This window comes from Homo sapiens, chromosome 19, assembly GCF_000001405.40.
Source record: "Homo sapiens chromosome 19, GRCh38.p14 Primary Assembly".
Classification (NCBI taxonomy): domain Eukaryota; kingdom Metazoa; phylum Chordata; class Mammalia; order Primates; family Hominidae; genus Homo; species Homo sapiens.
Window position 1 is genome coordinate 54,528,811 of NC_000019.10, and position 18,774 is coordinate 54,547,584.

The following is an 18,774-nucleotide window of genomic DNA, read 5'->3' on the forward strand; positions in this document are numbered from 1 at the left end:
TAACAAATACTTTCAAGCTTTATGGACATATACAAATTGTACATATTTGGTGGGTGGAATATGATGTTTTGATGTATGTGAAATAATTACCACAATCGAGCTAACAAGAAAGTGTCTCTCCCCTCACAGGGTTATCATTTTTGTCTTCATTTTTTTTTATGTGGTGAGAATATGTAAGACGTATCCTGTTAGCAAATTTCAGGTGTGTAATACAGTCTTTTTACACTATAGTCAGGCGGGTTTTGAGTGTGGGAAATGAGGACACGTTGGTCAAAGGCTACAAAGTTTGGTTATGCAGGATGAAAATGTTCTAGAGATCTAATGTAAGCATGGTGACGATAGCTCACAGAGCTTCCGATGGAAGAGGCTATTTTGTGTGCAGATTTTGCCTTGCTCCAAGATGGCAAAACTGCAGAAGAAATTGTCCAATGGGCAGAAGAAACTGGAGGTTTATTGGGATGTGTTGACTTCCCTCCACCAATTGAAGATAAGAGATGACCAGAATTCAAGGTGCTGCCTACTTCACGTTAGTATTGAGGAAGGAGCTCATTCCTCTTAACAATGAAGAGTAATCAGATTTTAAACTGTCATGGTTGCTGTAAAGAAAAAGCAAAGCGTAAATATACCCTAATAAAATTTTTGTGTATAAGAAGGGAAACTATTCAGAAAGTGAAAGTGATACAAATATGAGATAGCCCCAGAGAAATTTGAGGCACCTCGAGTTTCTTTCAAAAATAAAATGCAATTGGGAAGCCAAGGCAGGCGGATCACCTGAGGTCAGGAGTTCGAGACCAGCCTGCCCAACATGGCGAAACCCCGTCTGTACTAAAATTACAAAATATTAGCTGGCGTGGTGGTGGGGGTCTGTAATCCCAGCTATTCGGTAGGCTGAGGCAGGAGAATCTCTTAAACCTGGGAGGCAGAGGTTGCAGTGAGCCGAGATCATGCCACTGCACCCCAGCCTGGGCGACAAGAGTGAAACTTCGTCTTAAAATAAATAAATGAATAAATAAATAAATAAAATGCATTAAAACACCAAAACATAGAAATGTTATATAAGTTAGAAGAGTTATTTCCCTCATTTTAATGATGCTAAAAGTGAGGTAAAAATAAAAAGAAATTCGTGAATTTATAAGAAATGTATTAAATAAGTGAAACATATTAAAATACAGAAAAGATAAAGTAACTGTAGCTGGAAACAGAGAGAGGCATGCTTGCAGAAAGTATATAAAAAGGGATGGAAACATATACATATTTAAAAAATAATCAGCCAGGGTACAGTCATATGAAGACAGATCAAGAACACCCAATGTTTTTAAAATTGGAATTTTTGAAGAAGAGAACGCAAGCAAGGAATAGATAGGATCTAGTTTATTTGTCCAGGATCCATATTTGAAAAATTCAGGTATGGCTTATTTCTGACCTTCTGAATTTACTCTTTTATATGTTTTTCCAGAGGAATCCATAAGCCTGTTAGGAGATTAGGCTACGAAATTTCTTTAAATGTACCTCAAGTGAATAGAACCTTTTAAATCATCATGAATGGACACGAAACTCACCACTGGCTCTTGCCTGCAAGAGCCTTGTTTCTTTACCTAATTCATCAACTATTTGTATTTATTGTTTGGGCAGCACTTCTGGAAAATTTGCACGATATACCTAAGATCTACAGATGATGTGGGTCCTTCTGGAAATAATTCATGAAGGAAAATAGTTTAAAGACATACTAATTACCATGTAATGCATCACGGGCATTCAATATTTAGTAGAGCTTGTTTTAGTGAAGAGTTGCGAATTTAGGTATTGAATTCAGTAATCAAAATATGCCCCACATCAATATCCCAAATTAACTCCTGTAATTATTTATACTTCTCAACACTGCTTTAAAAAGCACAGAATCACATTCTTCAATATAAAATTAAAAATTTCGAATTTCATGGAACGCTTTGAAATTTTTATGGACTTAACCCTCACCTTCAAAAGCCAAACTTTTGAAGTTATCAGTGTTCAAATTTTCCTTCTTCAAAGGCCACGGCCCCTCTGCTATTACTTATGCTGTGTCTTGTTCTCACAGTCCAGTGTACGCTTACTTCTTAGAACTTTAATTTGTACTAAATAAAAATTGCACTGGATTAAAACAGTTTACTTCATAAAGCTGTTGGCCTCATCCCAATGTGTAAACACTGCTAAGCTGTCTTCCTGGCAAGAAACCCGTAAACACCATGAAGTACATTTAGCAACGTCAATTAACAAGTTCTCCTCATTTTTAACCAATGCATGCGTCATATTTTTAAGTGGGTATTTGTCCCGTGTGTTTGCTTGCAGGGTGACTGTCCACTACTGAGGTCTTGAACTTTGCAAATCTCACTTCCAAGTCAATCAATTATAACACATTTTATGAAACATAGCACAATGTTTAATAAATGGCACCATTGATTTGTAAAAATTATTTCTCATAGGTGATACATTTGCTTACAGGTACAGATATTTGTATCACAGCATTTATTCAACATATTTTTCTATTGTAGAATATATTTAAGTAAATGTTAACATCAAGTTCATCCTCTGTCATCTGTAATCAGGTATTTTCTGAGAAGTGGAAAAAACAACAGAATCTGACAACGGTTGCTGGCAGTTTTGGGGTCATCATTCTGTAAAACATGTGTTTTTGTCAGTTTATTTTTATCTTGACATTCCCCATGTCCTGCAGTCCCACCCTGGGGTGTGTACTCAGGGAAACTCACTCATAAAACCCAGGACACTCAGGCAAGAATGCTCCGGCAAACATTGCTCCAAAAAACAAAATGTCCGGTGAAAACATACATCATATCTGCCCAAAAGGACAAATACATTGAGGAATATGCAAGCGATTTACTGCAGTCTGTCTGTTGTTAAATAAACAAGAGCTATGCAGAGCATTAGGAGCATAGCGGTATCATTTTACAATCAAAAACACAAAACAAACTATCCTTTTGTGTTATATTTAAAACGTAAAAATATACGTACATACACACACACAAATATTACCAGATGATAGCTATGATATCAGAGACACATATTTACAAAAATAACACAGAAAAGATCCAAAATTGTATGTGTGTGGTTTTCATACATTGAGAAGTTCTGGGACAGATGAGAGACAAAGCATGAGTTGATACTATTTTTATGAATATGCTGTTTTTTTTCAGTGTGGATTTCACAGGGCTTTTTTTCTTGCTATAATCTTACTAATTTTTTAATAAAATGAATTGGCTTTTGGGGAGAACCTTCAGCGTTATATGCACATATGTTTGTGTTATTCAGAGTTTATATATGTATGTAAATATACACATAGAGAGAGTAGAGTTTTCTGGAAGAGAAAGATAGAGATCTGTGTCTTGAACTGTGAGTCAAGAAAGGATTTCAGAGAAAACATCAAGAACCAGGATTTTCACGCTCGCTTCTGTGTTAATAATGCAAAATCAGTTTTTCTTGGTGTTAACTTCTTGAAGCATAGGAGAAAAATTGAAGAACTTGAAAATTGTTCTTAATTTGCAAGTAATTAATTTGCAACTTTGAAAATGACAGGATAAACATTTCAGTTTTACTGTACAACCGTTTTACAACACTGACAGTGCATCTATTTTAATTTGGCGGAGAACCTTGCATCACAGAAATCAAATCATGCATAGTTCTCAAAAAAGGCAATAAGATATTAAGATACAATTCTACACTTTTGCACATAGAAAAATTAAATTTGAAATATAGACATTATGGATTGGTCGGTGCTAGGGTTCAAGTCAAGCCTTTGTTAGGGGCTCTGTTGAACCAAGAATACCGTCTGCAAGTTTCCTGTGTCACCCACTATGTTTAGGGTGAGAGCTGGTCATCTTCCTGTGTGGGGCACCCTCTAAACTCTGCAAACTGAAACTGGAACCATGGTTACCACATCCTGTTCATTTTCCAATTTAGCTCAACCCCTGTGTCCTGCCCAATAGAAGTGGCACCATGGCCCCCAAACTCATCACCGTCCTGTGTCTGGGTAAGTCCTGGAAGGGAAAGGAGGACACGGTTGGGATGGAAAATGCTCTCTTGAAGACCTGGCCTCTCCACAACCCAGGTCTGGTGGTGGGAAGCCAGGTTCATCCACCCTCTGAATCCAGGCTGAGCTGACAAACCCAGTTACAAGGAGGGAAGGATTCACATGAAGACAAGCTATTTTTCTCTCCTCTCTTTTTTTTTTTTTTGCCTAGGATTCTGCCTGAACCAGAAGATCTGCCCACATGCGGGTGAGTCCTATCCCAGTCCTAGGATGCTGTGTTGGCCAAACACAAATGATTCTCCAGGCAGGGAGGGTGGACACGAAGTCAGGCTGATGCAGATGACATGGGGTGGGCTTTGCAGTGAGCACTGGGAACACAGGAAGGGAGTCCTCTGGAGACCCCAGGCTCCATTTTGTTCTAGAAACCCTCCATAGGCAGCCCCTCAGGCTCATCCAATCTCCTGAAGGAGCCTGTGATGCTCAGAATCCAGCGTGTCTGGGGGTGGGTAGGGTAGGAGTACTCTCTGTCAGGAGGCAGGGACCCGTGCTGGGCACTTGTGTTGGGAATTGTTAAATGAGTTGATATGTTTTTTGTATTGCTTGAATCTGGTAGATTCCTCCTTCTCCTCCATGTACAGATTTCTGTTGTAGACAAGAACTAGGAGCAACTTGGCTCAATATTGTATCATCATGCTTAGTAGAATTCTGTTCTGGGGAGACCTTCCATGTCCACTCTGGGGTGGCTGTGTCCCTGGCTTGCGACCAGGTATCCCAGGGCATCAGGGGACCCCACGTTACAGGGCAAACCAGAACAATGTAAAGAAGGAAATGCCCCCAAGGACAGCGGGAGACGGGGGGCTCCACATTTCCCTCTCTAGGCTGTGCCTCCTTCTCTTCCAGGTGCTCAGGACAAGTTCTCCCTGTCAGCCTGGCCGAGCCCTGTGGTTCCCCTAGGAGGACGTGTGACTCTCTCCTGTCATTCCCATCTTCGATTTGTCATATGGACAATATTCCAAACAACTGGGACCCGAAGCCATGAGTTGCACACTGGCCTTTCCAACAACATCACCATCAGCCCTGTGACCCCAGAACACGCAGGGACCTACAGATGTGTTGGAATTTACAAGCACGCCTCAAAGTGGTCAGCTGAGAGCAACTCCCTGAAGATCATCGTCACAGGTAGGAGAAGTCCAGCCCACCCCACGTCCAACCGGTGTCCAGATGGACCTGCCCAGAGTCCACACCCAATGAAGCCAGAGAGTTGTTGTGGGATTCCTAGTCATGCACTAACCGTGGACACAGAAGCCATCCTGGGAATTTAAAGAGAGGGCATTTCCTGTGAGGAATCAGGTACCCAGGTGGAGGAGGAGGGAGGAAGCCGAGCAGCAGGAGAATCTGCCTGGGGAGTAGCAGACGCAGGGTGCTGGTACCAATTGCAGCAGGGTGGATCCAGGGAGGAGCCATGTTGCCTGACCCCAGCTGGATCCAGGGAGGAGCCATGTTGCCTGACCCCAGCACCAGTGTTTCCCTCGGGGAAGTCGTTACTCTGCCTCGAAGGAGCCAGAGGCTTGGGGAAGTGACAGTTCCCTCGGGAGATGAGTCCAGTGGCTCAGTGGGACATGGATTGGGAAATGCACCCATTCCTCTCCTCCTCCTTCCCAGTCTCGTGACACTCATCCCTTCTCTCTCATGGATGTGCAGAGTGTCTCACGGAGAGTTAGAAACTCATCCTGTGGAGTCGCCCCTGCCCATCCTATAAAGCAGGGAAGGGAGAGTGTGGAGTTATTCATATTTTATATATGTATGTAAATATACACATAAAGAGAGAGAGAGAGTAGAGTTTTCTGGAAGAGAAAGATAGAGATCTGTGCCTTGAACCGTGAGTCAAGGAAGGATTTCAGAGAAAACATCAAGAACCAGGATTTTCACGGTTGGTTCTGTGTTAATAATGCAAAATCAGTTTTTGTTGTTAACTTCTTGAAGCATGGGAGAAAAATTTAAGAACTAGAAAATAGTTCTCAATTTGCAAGTCATTAATTTGTAACTTTGAAAATGACAGAATAAACATTTCAGTTTTGCTGTACAACCATTTTACAACATTGACAATGCATGTATTTTAATTTGGCAGTCTCACATTCAAGGAGCTCAGAAGAAACAGAGAAGAGATTGGGTCTTTCCACCAAGAGAGCGGGGAAAGCAGGTTGGGGTGAGGCAGGGAGATCCAGGCTACGAAAGCTCCTGGAGGATCTGAATGGAGATTGGGACTGTGAGGGGCTGCCCAGGAAAGGAGTTTACCGTGTCCTTCTGCCTAAACAGGGAAAAGGAGTCATTTCCACCCTCCCCAACAAGTAGTCACGTCTAACCTCTTGGGTTTTGGGGCAAAACCAGTTGTTCCTTCAGTGTGAGCCTGTGAGATTTCTTCTGATCCTCCAGAGAGTCTTGTATTTTTCAACACGCAGAGTTGAAAAACAGTGAGGCTCATAACCTCACAGTCCCATGCCAGGGAACCTAAGTCCAGCAGTGTGTTTTCTGAAGGTTCTCAAAGCACAGAGTAATTCCCATTTTCCGGGAGAACCCCACATCTCATATGGTTTCAAGCCAGACAATGGGGATCCGCGCAGAGAGAACATGCACGCACACAAACAGGAAGGACGCAGACGGGCTTTGGGGGTGATGAGGGACAGCTTCACCCTGAGGTCTCAGGCGAGGGGTGAGGAAGGAGACTCATGTGAACTCCTCTGTCTCTGCTCTCAGGCTTGTTCACAAAACCCTCCATCTCAGCGCACCCAAGCTCCCTGGTGCATGCAGGAGCCAGGGTGAGCCTGCGCTGTCACTCAGAACTGGCCTTTGATGAATTTATCTTATACAAAGAGGGGCACATACAGCATTCCCAGCAGCTTGACCAGGGGATGGAGGCTGGGATCCATTACGTCGAGGCTGTCTTTTCCATGGGTCCTGTAACGCCTGCCCATGCAGGAGCCTACAGATGCTGTGGTTGTTTCAGTCACTCCCGCTATGAGTGGTCGGCTCCCAGTGACCCCCTGGACATTGTGATCACAGGTGAGTGTGGCTGGACCATCCGTGGTCTGTTGGTGCCATGGGAGCTTCATGTAATGCGGTTGTTAATCAAACCTCAGTAGAGGAAGAGAAATAAAGGAAGAGAGGGACTGTGAAAAAGTGCTCAGCAAAGGGGTTTAACATGTCTTACTGCTTAAAGAGGCAGGAGGGGTCACTTCTACCCTCCCCAACAAGTAGTCACGTCTAACTCCTTGGGCTTGGGGGTACAGCCAGTTGTTCCCTGCAGTGGGATCCTGTGAGGTTCCTTCTGATCCTCCCGAGATTCTTATATTTTTCAACAAACACAATTGAAAAATAGTAAGACTCATAACCCCGTAGCCCCATGTCAGAGAACTCAAGGCCAGCACTATGTTTTCTGAAGGGTCTCAAAGCACAGAGTAATTCCCATTTTCCAGGAGAACCCCACATCTCATATGGCTTCTAGGGGCGGTAAACCACAGGGACTCAGTCAAAAGCAGAATCAAAGAAATGCAGAGGAAGTAAAAAGACACAGACATAGGCTGACTCAGGACCCTAGAGATGAACATGAGATTGACAGGGGCACCAGCCGACATTCGGAATCTGCTGCCAAGATAAGAACAGCGAGGCTGGGCGCTGTGGCTTACGCCTGTAATCCCAGCACTTTGGGAGGCTGACGTGGGCGGATCACAAGGTCAGGAGTTCGAGACCAGCCTGACCAACATGGTGAAACCCTGTCTCTACTAAAAATACAAAAATTAGCTGGGCATGGTGGTCCGTGCCTCTAATCCCAGCTACTCAGGAGGCTAAGGCAGGAGAATCACTTGAACCCGGGATGCTGAGGTTGCAGTGAGCCGAGATCGTGCTACTGCACTCCAGCCTAGGAGACAAGAGTGAAAATCTGTCTCAAAGGAAAAAAAAAAAAAAAAAAAAAGAGGGAGAGAGATTACTTTGTTCATACACTCAGGCGTGTGTTCTAAAATCAGCCTCTTTTTCTCCTAGGAAAATACAAAAAGCCTTCTCTCTCCACCCAGGTGGACCCCATGATGAGGCTGGGAGAGAAGTTGACCCTCTTCTGCAGCTCTGAAATCTCATTTGACCAGTACCATCTGTTCAGACACGGGGTTGCTCATGGACAGTGGCTCAGTGGAGGGCAGAGACACAGGGAAGCATTCCAGGCCAACTTTTCTGTGGGCCGTGCAACGCCAGTCCCTGGCGGGACCTATAGATGCTATGGTTCCTTCAATGACTCTCCCTATAAGCCCCCAGTGACCCGCTGCAACTTTACACCACAGGTGAGGAGCCCATGCCTGCTGCATGCTCTGGTGCCCACTGGATCACAGAGCCACACGTGAGGGGCGTCCCGCTGGGCACACAGGGGTATTAGGTACTCTGGATAAAATGAAACAGTGACAAACACACACAGGAAAAAAGAAGCTGAGCATGATGGGGCTGTCAGGGTGTAGGGTGGTAAGACGGGGCAGCTCCACACCCTCTGCCACCTTCTGTATGAAGAAAGAGGTCAGGACAAACACAGGGGGAGGTGAGGCCAGATGTAGTTTGTCGAGGTCAGAGGTTGCCCCTCACCCTTTTCCATTTCTCCAAAGCCCCTCCTGACCCCTCAACACAGAGAGATCTCCCTGCTGGGGAACGTGGAGATTTATCATCCCGATGGGAGACAATGTCTGTTGACATCACCCACCATGCTTCTCCTTATCACCTTCCCATCCCAGGGAAGGAATTGTCCCCCAGAGATTCCAAGGAAGAGACCCCAGGGCCCCCATTAGTCTTTAGGTGGATGACAGAGTAGGGGGTGTGCAGGGACCAAGCCTCCAAAGAAAATGGTGCTAATGCTCGGGAGGCTGAGGCAGGAGAATCGCTTGAACCCAGGAGGTGGAGGTTGCAGCGAGACAAGATGGCACCACTGCACTCCAGCCTGGGCGACAGAGCAAGACTCCAACTCAAAAAAAAAAAAAAAAAAGAAAGAAAGAAAGAAAGAAAGAAAAAGAAAGAAAGAAAGAAAGAAAGAAAGAAAAGAAAATGGTCCTACTTTAATGGGGCAATCAATGACGCTTGCTCACCCCTTCTCTGCCTTTTTTTTTCCTAGGAAACACTAAGAGTACTCCTCTGTCATTCACAGAATCCACCCCTGAATCTGGTAAGCAAATAACTCTTATCCTAGTGTCTGAGTCCCTGGGGAGACAGAAGGCCCCAGTGTGAGTGAAAGCTGTGCCACCTCCCAGCTCCATGACCCTGGGCTAGGCAGCCCCTCCCAGGTCCCCACATTCCCCATCCACATCTGAGACTGTGGTCAGTGCGGGAATCTGTAAGGCCTTTCAGCCTCAGACGCTTTGGGACTGAGGCCTCATCCACAGGGGAGGAAGAGGTCAGAGTCACCTGACCCTTGCTGAAAAGCAATGCTTCTCATTCCTCCAGGGAGGTCTGTGAACATGAAAATGCTGGAAGATGGGAAGGATTTAAAAGACCATATTCGATATTCACTGTCTGTCTTTTTTTGTTGTTTTTTTTTTTTGAGACAGAGTCTCACTCTGTCACCCAGGCTGGAGTGCGGTGGCACAATCTCAGCTCACTGCAACCTCTGCCTCCTGGGTTCAAGCGATTTTCCTGCCTCAGCCTCCCGAGTAGCTGGGATTACAGGTGCCCACCACCACACCCGGCTAATTTTTGTATTTTTAGTAGAGTCAGGGTTTCGCCATGTTGCCCAGGCTGGTGTCAAACTCCTGACCTCAAGTGATCTGTCCGCCTTGGCCTCCCAAAGTGCTGGGATTACAGGTGTGAGCCACCGCACCCAGCCTTATTGTCCATCTTCTAATGTCCTATGACATATTCAACAGTTCCTGTGTTCCAGTGGTGTGTGCAGGGAGGAGAAAAGTTATAATGAATAAACGTGTGAACTGATTTATTCAGATCCATTAATTTTGTATTCATTAAGATAGAGTCATGTGACAGAGAAAGCTTAAGTGGATCCTTTAGAGCAGGTGGAAGGGAAGACTCTATGTCACTCAAGGAACTGACATTTAAGGTGTGATCCTGATGACAAGGACAGCCAGTGTTGGAAGGATTGATGGAAGGACGTTCCCAGCAGGTAAACAGTGGTGCCATAAACTCAACATGGCAGGGCTGGGCGCAGGGCTCACAACTGTAATCCCAGCACTTTGGGAGGCTGAGGCGGGCAGATCACAAGGTCAAGAGATCGAGCTGTTCCTGGTCAACATGGTAAAACCCTGTCTCTACTAAAAATACAAAAATTAGCTGGGCGTAGTGGTGCATGTCTGTGGTCCCAGCTACTCCAGAGGCTGAGGCAGGAGAATTGTTTGAACCCGGGAGGCGGAAGTTGCAGTGAGCCGAGATTATGCCACTGCACTCCAGCTTGGGCGACAGGACGAGACTCCGTCTCAAAAAAAAAAAAAAATTCAACATGGCAATGCCTTGTGTGTGTTCACAGCACCAGTGAGGCTGACATGCCGGGGGAGAGGGGTGGAGCTGAGAGAGGAGGACAGGGACCAACTTGTGTGAACGTTTCTCGTTTTTAAAATGTTTAATTTTTGTGGGTACCTAGTAGGTGTGTATATTTATCAGGCGCATGAGATGTTTTGATACAGGCATGAAATGTGAAATAAGCACATCATGGAGGTTAAGGCATCCATCCCCTCAAGCATTTATTCTTTGAGTTACAAACAATTTAATTAAGATTTTTTTTTTTTTTTTGAGATGGAGTCTTGCTCTGTCACCCAGACTGGAGTGCATTGGCGCGCTTTCCGCTCACTGCAACCTCTGTCTCCTGGGTTCAAGCAGTTCTCCTGCCTCAGCCTCCCAAGTAGCTGGGATTACAGGTGTACGCCACCATGCCTGGCTAACTTTTTGTATTTTAGTAGAGACAGGGTTTCAACATGTTGTCCAGGCTGGTCTCAAACACCTGAGCTCAGGTGATCTGCCCGCCTCAGTCTCCCAAAGTCTTAGGAGTACAGGTGTGAGCCACCATGCCTGGCCCCAATTATGCTTTTTATTTTAAAATGTACAGTAAAGTTCTTATTGACTAGAGCCAGCCTGTTGGTGCTACCAAGTGAGGGTTTCTAAGCAACAGTAAAGAGTTTGGATTTTATTCCAATAAAGAGGTGAAGACAAGTTTTGTTTTGTTTTTTTTTCAGAGTCTTACTCTGTCTCCAGGCTGGAGTGCAGTGGCGTGATCTCGGCTCACTGCAACCTCTGCCTCCCGGGTTCAAGTGATTCTCCTGCCTTAGCCTCCTGAGTAGCTGGGATTATAGGCACCCACCACCATACCCGACTAATTTTTGTATTTTTAGTAGAGACCAGGTTTCACCATGTTGGCCAGGATGGTCTCGATCTCTTGACCTTGTGATCCGCCTGCCTTGGCCTCCCAAAGTGCTGGGATTACAGGTGTGAGCCACTGTGCCCAGCCGTTTTTTTTTTTCTTTTTTTTTGAGACAGAGTCTTGCTCTGTTGCCCAGGCTGAAGTGCAATGGCGTGATCTTGGCTCACTGCAACCTCCGCCTCCTGGGTTCAAGCGATTCTCCTGCCTCAGCCTCCTGAGTAGCTGGGATTACAGGGGGCCCGCCACCAAGCCTGGCTAATTTTTGTATTTTTAGTAGAGACAGGGTTTCACCATGTTGGCCAGGCTGGTCTTGAACTCCTGACTTCAGGTGATCCACCCACCTTGACCTCCCAAAGTGCTGGGATTACACGCATGAGCCACTGTGCCTGGCCGAAGACAAAGGTTTTAGTCAGAAACGTGTCATGATCCACATTCTATTTTAGAGATAGCAATCGGCCGATGTGAATAGTGTTTATTACAGGGAGGCAGGAGTGGAAGCCAGGAGCCTGGTGGGGCTGTGACATCCTTGTAGAGGACACTCATGGCAGCTTAGATGTGCTGGGGCTGGAGAAGGAGTTGAGCAGGTGGATTCAGGAGAGGCTCAGAGCTGGAGTCACTAAGAGGGAGAGTTTGGAAACTTGTTCCAGTATTTCTCAGTGCATGACCTGGGGCACGCTCATTTCTCTCTGAGCCTCTGATTCCATTGATGGCAACTCATACTTGGGCTATCAGAGAAGTAGCAACTCAGCAGGGAGCCTTATGGGGGAACGAGACATAGTCCTTGAAAGAGAAAAGATTATAATCAGACACTTGGGCTCAATGGATGGCTCTGCTAGTTATGGTCACTCATCTTGGAAAGCATCCGTTTTCTTTTCTTTTCTTTTTTCTTTTGTTTTCTTCTTTTTGTTTGAGCCAGAGTCTCTCTGTGTTGCCCAGGCTGGAGTGCAGTGGTATGAAACTGGCTTACTGCAATGTCCCAGTTTCAAGTGATTCTCCTGCCTCAGCCTCCCAAGTAGCTGGGATTACAGGTGTCTGCCACCACGCCCGGCTAATTTTTGTATTTTTAGTAGAGACAGGTTTCACTATGTTGGTCAGGCTGGTTTTGAACTCCTGAACTCCAGTGATCAGCCTGTCTGTGCCTCCCAAAGTGCTGGGATTACAGGCATGAGCCATGGCACCTGGCCAAAGCATCCAAGTTGTTGGATAGAATATTGGGCTAATGATGCCTCCCTCCTTATGGAAAAAAAAAAAGTAGGAAAGAGAAGAAAGAAAAGCTTCCCAAGTTGAATGTCTAGAAGTAGCAGACATGTCTAGAATTGAGCCCAAGAGTACGGCTGGCTACAGTCTTTTCTCTTTCAAGGACTATATCATGGATGAGAGAGTGATGAGATGTGTCCACACATGTGGAAGTCCTCCCACCACCTCTCAGCATGGGTCCTGGTACGGAGGGTATGCTCCTATGTGACATAGCCTGTGCCCCCTCCCCTTTTTCTCTCCTGAATCCTCCACCCACCTGCTCTTACTCATTACTCAGAAAAACACCAACATTGTTTGGAGCAAGTTCAATTCTCAGAAACTGGCATGAGAGTCATCCTCTGGCCACCTCTATCTCCATTCTCAGAAAGTGTATTTGTCCTGGGCTGAGAAGGGACGAGGGAAATGGTATTCAGCTATGGTACATGCAGAGGGTTTCCTTTGTCATGCAAAAACAAACTGTCTTGTCTCATGAGGAAGTGGGAGGGGAGGCACACTGGAGCCTGGTAGGCCTGGGTTCAGACCTCCATGTCTCTCCTTTTTTTTTTCTTTTTTTTTTTTTTTTGAGATGGAGTCTTGCTCTGTCACCCACCCTGTGTACAATCTCGGCTTACTACAACCTCTGCCTCCTGGGTTCAAGCGATTGTCCTGCCTCAGCCTTCTGAGTAGCTGGGATCACAGGCGTGTACCACTACGCCTGGCTAATTTTTGTGTTTTTAGTGGAGACGGAGTTTTGCCATGTAGGCCAGGCTGGTCTCTAACTCCTGACCTCAGGTGATCTGCCCACCTCTGCCTCCCAAAGTGCTGGGATTACAGGTGTGAACCACCACACCAGGCCTCTGCATCTCTCTTACTGGCCATTTGATTTGGACACGTGTCTTCACTTCTCTTGGAATTTTTTGTGTAAGTGATGGAAAATGGAGAAAGTAACTGTTCGGGTGTAGGGATCTTGGAAGAGCTTCAGATAAAGCATGTTGTGTGTTCAGTATGTATTGGCACAAAACAGGCAACCAGTCAATGAGAGGGTTTATCATTTGCTTCTTGACAGACACACCTCGCCCTCAAGGACAGTCCAGCAACCTGCATATGCTCACTGGACTCTCAGTAGCCATCATCTCCATTGGCGTTTGCCTCTCTGCTTTTATTGGTTTCTGGTGTTACATAAAATATCGTAAGTCTCAGGGAGGGGAGGACAGTATCATGTGAGCCCCGTGGGGATGTGACTGGCGCACGGGGGTGCTATTCACGTCCTGTGGGTTGATCTGTGTTTCCGCTGAGGTTCTTTTTTTTTTTTGAGATGGAGTCTCGCTCTGTCACCCAGGCTGGAGTGCAGTGGCGCTATCTCGGCTCACTGCAAGCTCTGCCTCCCGGGCTCACGCCATTCTTCCACCTCAGCCTCCCGATTAGCTGGGACTACAGGTGCCCACCACCATGCCCGGCTAATTTTTTGTATTTTTAGTAGAGATGGAATTTCACCATGTTAGCCAGGATGGTCTTTATCTCCTGACCTCATGATCCGCCCGCCTCGGCCTCCCAAAGTGCTGGGATTACAGGCGTGAGCCAGTGTGCCCGGCCTCCGTTGAGGTTCTTGATGGAGAAACCCTGCTCCTTCCCTTCACTGACCAATCACCCCAACCCCTCCCCTACCTCCACCTCACCTCTGGGGAGGCCACTGACCTGCAGGAGATGGTCCATGAGAGAGGCAGAAGGATGGGGGCCATCTATCGGAGCGGTCCTGGGGCAGTCAAGATTGCCCCAAGGTTGCTGATGGGTGGTTCTCTGAATTTAGTGGGGGAGGCTGGATCACGCTGCAGCCTCAGGCACGCCCTTGCCTTGTTTTGGTCTTGGTATTGCCACCTCTGAAGTGAAGATCTGGAAGACTTTCTTTTTCACCCCACAGACACCACCATGGCAAACACAGAGCCCACGGAAGGCCAACGGACGGATGAAGAGGTGAGTTCTCCCAGCCGAAACCATCACCACAGCTTCATCCCCTCCCATTCCCAGTGCCCCTGCCTTCAGCCACTAAATATGCTCCTCTTTTCACCTTCATCCTCTCAGGAGCCTGCAGCAGAAGAGACACAGGAGATCATATATGCCCAGTTAAACCACCAGGCCCTCTCACAGACAGGATTCCCTCCTGCCTCCCAGTGTCCCCACTACCTCTCGGAGGATCCTAGTATCTACATCACTGTCCACCAAGCCCAGGCTGAGGCCAGAGCTGCCCCCAGTCTTTGGCACAAAGGGCATTAATACGCAAGGACCTGGATCTATTCCTAGGAGGATTTTTTTTCCACGGACATTCTTCCTCCTTCTGGTACCATCTTGACACCTCGAAGCTGGCAACAGCAGTGTCTGAATGCTTGTGGGATTATCTTAAAATTCCAGCACTGCTGAACAGACAACTAGCCATTCTACAATTCTATTTTGAGCATCCAACCATTTAAGGTGATTTGACTCTACCCACACACTCATCCTGGATATCTCATTAATATCATCTGAGTTATCCTGAAACTCTACAGACATGCTTCTGGAAAGCCGATGTATATGCTCAGCCAGTTTAATCTCTAAATTACTCAATAAGGTTTTTTTAAAAAAATTTTTTTAAAGTTCTGGGGTACATGCTCAGGATGTGCAGGTTTGTTACGTAGGTAAACGTGTGCCATGGTGGTTTGCTGCACCTATCAAACCGTCACCTAGGTATTAAGCCCAGCAGGCATTAGCTCTCTTCCCTAATGCTCTCCATACCCCCTGCCCTCCTCTGACAGGCCCCAGTGAATGTGTTCCCCTCCCTGTGTCCATGTGTTCTCATTGTTCAGCTCCCACTTATAAGTGAAAACATGCGGTGTCTGGTTTTCTGTTCCTGCATTAGTTTGCTGAGGATAATGTCTTCTAGCTTCATTCATGTCTCTGCAAATGATATGATCTCATTCCTTTTTATGACTGCGTAGTATTCCGTGGTGTATATGTACAACTTTATTTTTATCCAGTCTATCATTGATGGGCATTTGGGTTGATTCCACGTCTTTGCTGTTACTCAACAAAATTTTGCAGAGATGAAGTGTATTCTATATCTGAGTCATCTAATATGGTAGCCACTAGCCAAATATGGCTTTTTAACTTAGAATTAGAATAGATCAAATTCCATGAAGTTTAAAATTCAGTTCCTCAGCCACATGGCCACAATTTGAGTTCTCAGAGCCACGTGTGGCTGCTGGCTGTGGGAGAGAATAGCATGAACACAAAATGTTTTCCTTGTCAGAGGAAGTTCTAGCTGTTCTAGATTAAAGGTGCAAATTTGAAGATGCAGAGCCTATTTTCTCATGCAGTGCAGGCTCCTGGAAGAGACCTAATGTAACAAAACGATAATATTTCACATCAATGGTGACATGTCTTTATCTTACGAAATGCGGGGAACAAGCAGAGTTCTCTTGTGGAGTGTCTTATCACCTCTTATCCTCATGCAAATTTCTGCCATAGAGATTTTCTCCCAAACTTTGAGAAGGTCACCTCTGTCAGGCCTCTGAGCCCAAGCTAAGCCATCCTATCCCCTGTGACCTGCACGTACACATCCAGATGGCCTGAAGCAACTGAAGATTCACAAAAGAAGTGAAAATAGCCTTAACTGATGACATTCCACCACTGTGACTTGTTCCCGCCCCACTAACTGATACCATATATTCTGCCCCGCCCAAGAAGGTACTTTGTAATATTCCTCGCCCCCTTACCCCCCACCGCCCTGCCCCCGCTCGCCCGCCTTAAGAAGGTACTTTGTAATATTCTCCCCCACAACTTTAGAAGGTACTTTGTAATATTCTCCCCAACTTTAGAAGGTACTTTGTAATATTCTCCCCCACAACTTTAGAAGGTACTTTGTAATATTCTCCCCTCCCCTTAAGAAGGTACTTTGTAATATTCTCCCCCACAACTTTAGAAGGTACTTTGTAATATTCTCCCCTCCCCTTAAGAAGGTACTTCGAGGCTGGGTGCGGTGGCTCATGTCTGTAATCCCAGCACTCTGGGGGGCCGAGGTGGGTGGATCACGAGGTCAGGAGATCGAGACCATCCTGGCTAATGTGGTGAAACCCCGTCTCTACTAAAAAAATACAAAACAATTAGCTGGGCATGGTGGCGGGTGCCTGTAGTCCCAGCCACTTGGGAGTCTGAGGCAGGAGAATGGCGTGAACCCAGGAGGCAGAGCTTGCAGTGAGCTGAGATCGCGCCACTGCACTCCAGCCTGGGCGATAGAGCAAGACTCTGTCTCAAAAAAAAAAAAAAAAAAAAAAAAAAAAAGAAGGTACTTTGTAATATTTCTCCCCACTGCCACCCACCCCCCGCCAAGAAGGTACTTTGTAATATCCTCCCCCCAACGCCAGCCCCCTCCACGACCTTAAGAAGGTACTTTGTAATATTCTCCGCGCCCTTGAGAATGTACTTTGTACGCCCATCTCAAACCTATAAGAACTTATGATAATCCCACCACCCTTTGCTGACTCTCTTTTCAGACTCAGCCCACCTGCACCCAGGTGAAATAAACAGCCTTGTTGCTCACACAAAGCCTGTTTGGTGGTCTCTTCACACAGACGCTCATGACAACCTCCTATTTGTACCTTTTCTCGTCCCCTGGTTTCACATGGAGAGAAAGCACACATCCATTCTCCGCACAGAACATGCTCTGGAAGCTGCTTTCTGATGACGTCTTCCTCTGAGCCTTTATTCTGTTTCTTTCTACTTGAATTGGCACCTACCCAGAGCAATTCACAAACTGCTGCCTGCAACGAGCTGTCACTGGCTCATGGAATTGTCACATGCTGTTTCTTCACCTGGTAATTATCTCCCTTTTTTGAGCATCTCAGTGCAGACATCCACCTTCATACACATGTCTTTATCTCATAGGCTAAGTGAGGAGGTTGATTGACTCACAGTGTCTGTGCCCAATAGGCTGAGTTTTTATGGCCTGATCCCCACTGGTCTTTCATGTGTGGACTGTGAGTTTTTTTTGTTGTTGTCGTTGCCAGGCTGGAGTGCAGTGGTGTGACCTCAGCTCACTGCAATCTCTGCCTCCCAGGTTCAAGAGATTCTCTTGCCTCAGCCTCCCGAGTAGCTGGGACTACAGGTGCGTGCCACCACGCACCGCTAATTTTTGCATTTTTAGGAGAGACGGGGTTCCACCATGTTGGCCAGGATGGGACTATGAGATTTTTGAGGCAGGACTGAGTCTGATTAACCTCTGGGACTCAATGCAACCCTCCAAGGATCCTGCCCATAGGAGGAGGTATCAGCAACTCAGGTCTGGTAAGTGATGAGGACACCCAACCCTTCCAGGGAGCAGAGCGTGGAGCAAACATCAGAGATCCTCTGATGTTACCCAGAAGTAGTTTCTCTGTCTCCCTGGGCCAAAGGGAGGATCATGCTTCCTCTACAGTCTGGGATATGTGAGCTAAGAGACAAATGCTGGTTAGTGGATGTGAGGGTGAATGGCAGGCACACTCCCAGCCTGGCTATTTGCATGACGGCCCTACCCTTACTATTGTATATTCTACAGCTAGGTTGGTCCTGCAGCAATCTCGTTTTGATAAGCAGGGTAAAAGTGAAAGACCAAAACGTGTCTTCTCTCTGAGCCTCTGCACACAGGGTGGTTATGCCGCAGAGTCAACTGATGCTAAAGGGAAACTATGCAAGCCAGAAATGATTTTAATTTTGCTTCCACACCATCCTCTCAAAAATAACAGAAAGTGAGCATTTTTTTTTTTTCTGGAGTCTCTCTCTGTCACCCAGGCTGGAGTACAGTGACATGAGCTCAGCTCACTGCAGCCTCCACCTCCCGGGTTCAAGCGATTCTCCTGCCTCAGCCTCTGGAGTAACTGAGATTACAGGCACCCACCACCACACCTGGCTACTTTTTGTATTTTTAGTAGAGACAGGGTTTCACCATGTTGGTCAGGCTGGTCTCAAACTCCTGACCTTGTGATCTGCCTGCCTCGGCCTCCCAAAGTGCTGGGATTACAGGCATGAGCCACTGCACCTGGCCAAAAGTGAGCATTTTAAAAAGTGATTTACAACCAATGATAAATGTGACCTGATAAGATAATTCAAGTATTCCATGTTC

General features: G+C 46.2%; 1 pseudogene across 4 annotated transcripts; it reads left to right on the forward strand.

Moving 5' to 3' along the window:
* Positions 1–3,881: 3,881 nt before the first annotated feature.
* Positions 3,882–16,958, forward strand: KIR3DX1 (killer cell immunoglobulin like receptor, three Ig domains X1 (pseudogene); annotated as a pseudogene). 4 transcript variants are annotated; one of them, NR_026716.2, is made up of 9 exons: positions 3,882–4,021; positions 4,233–4,268; positions 4,922–5,200; positions 6,776–7,081; positions 8,060–8,352; positions 9,165–9,215; positions 13,714–13,836; positions 14,566–14,618; positions 14,727–16,958. The product of NR_026716.2 is annotated as a killer cell immunoglobulin like receptor, three Ig domains X1 (pseudogene), transcript variant 1 (transcript). The 4 variants fall into 4 exon arrangements; NR_104095.1 differs by lacking the exon at positions 6,776–7,081 and having other exon boundaries at positions 8,074–8,352; NR_104097.1 differs by lacking the exon at positions 6,776–7,081 and having other exon boundaries at positions 8,092–8,352; positions 14,455–14,618.
* Positions 16,959–18,774: the final 1,816 nt, after the last annotated feature.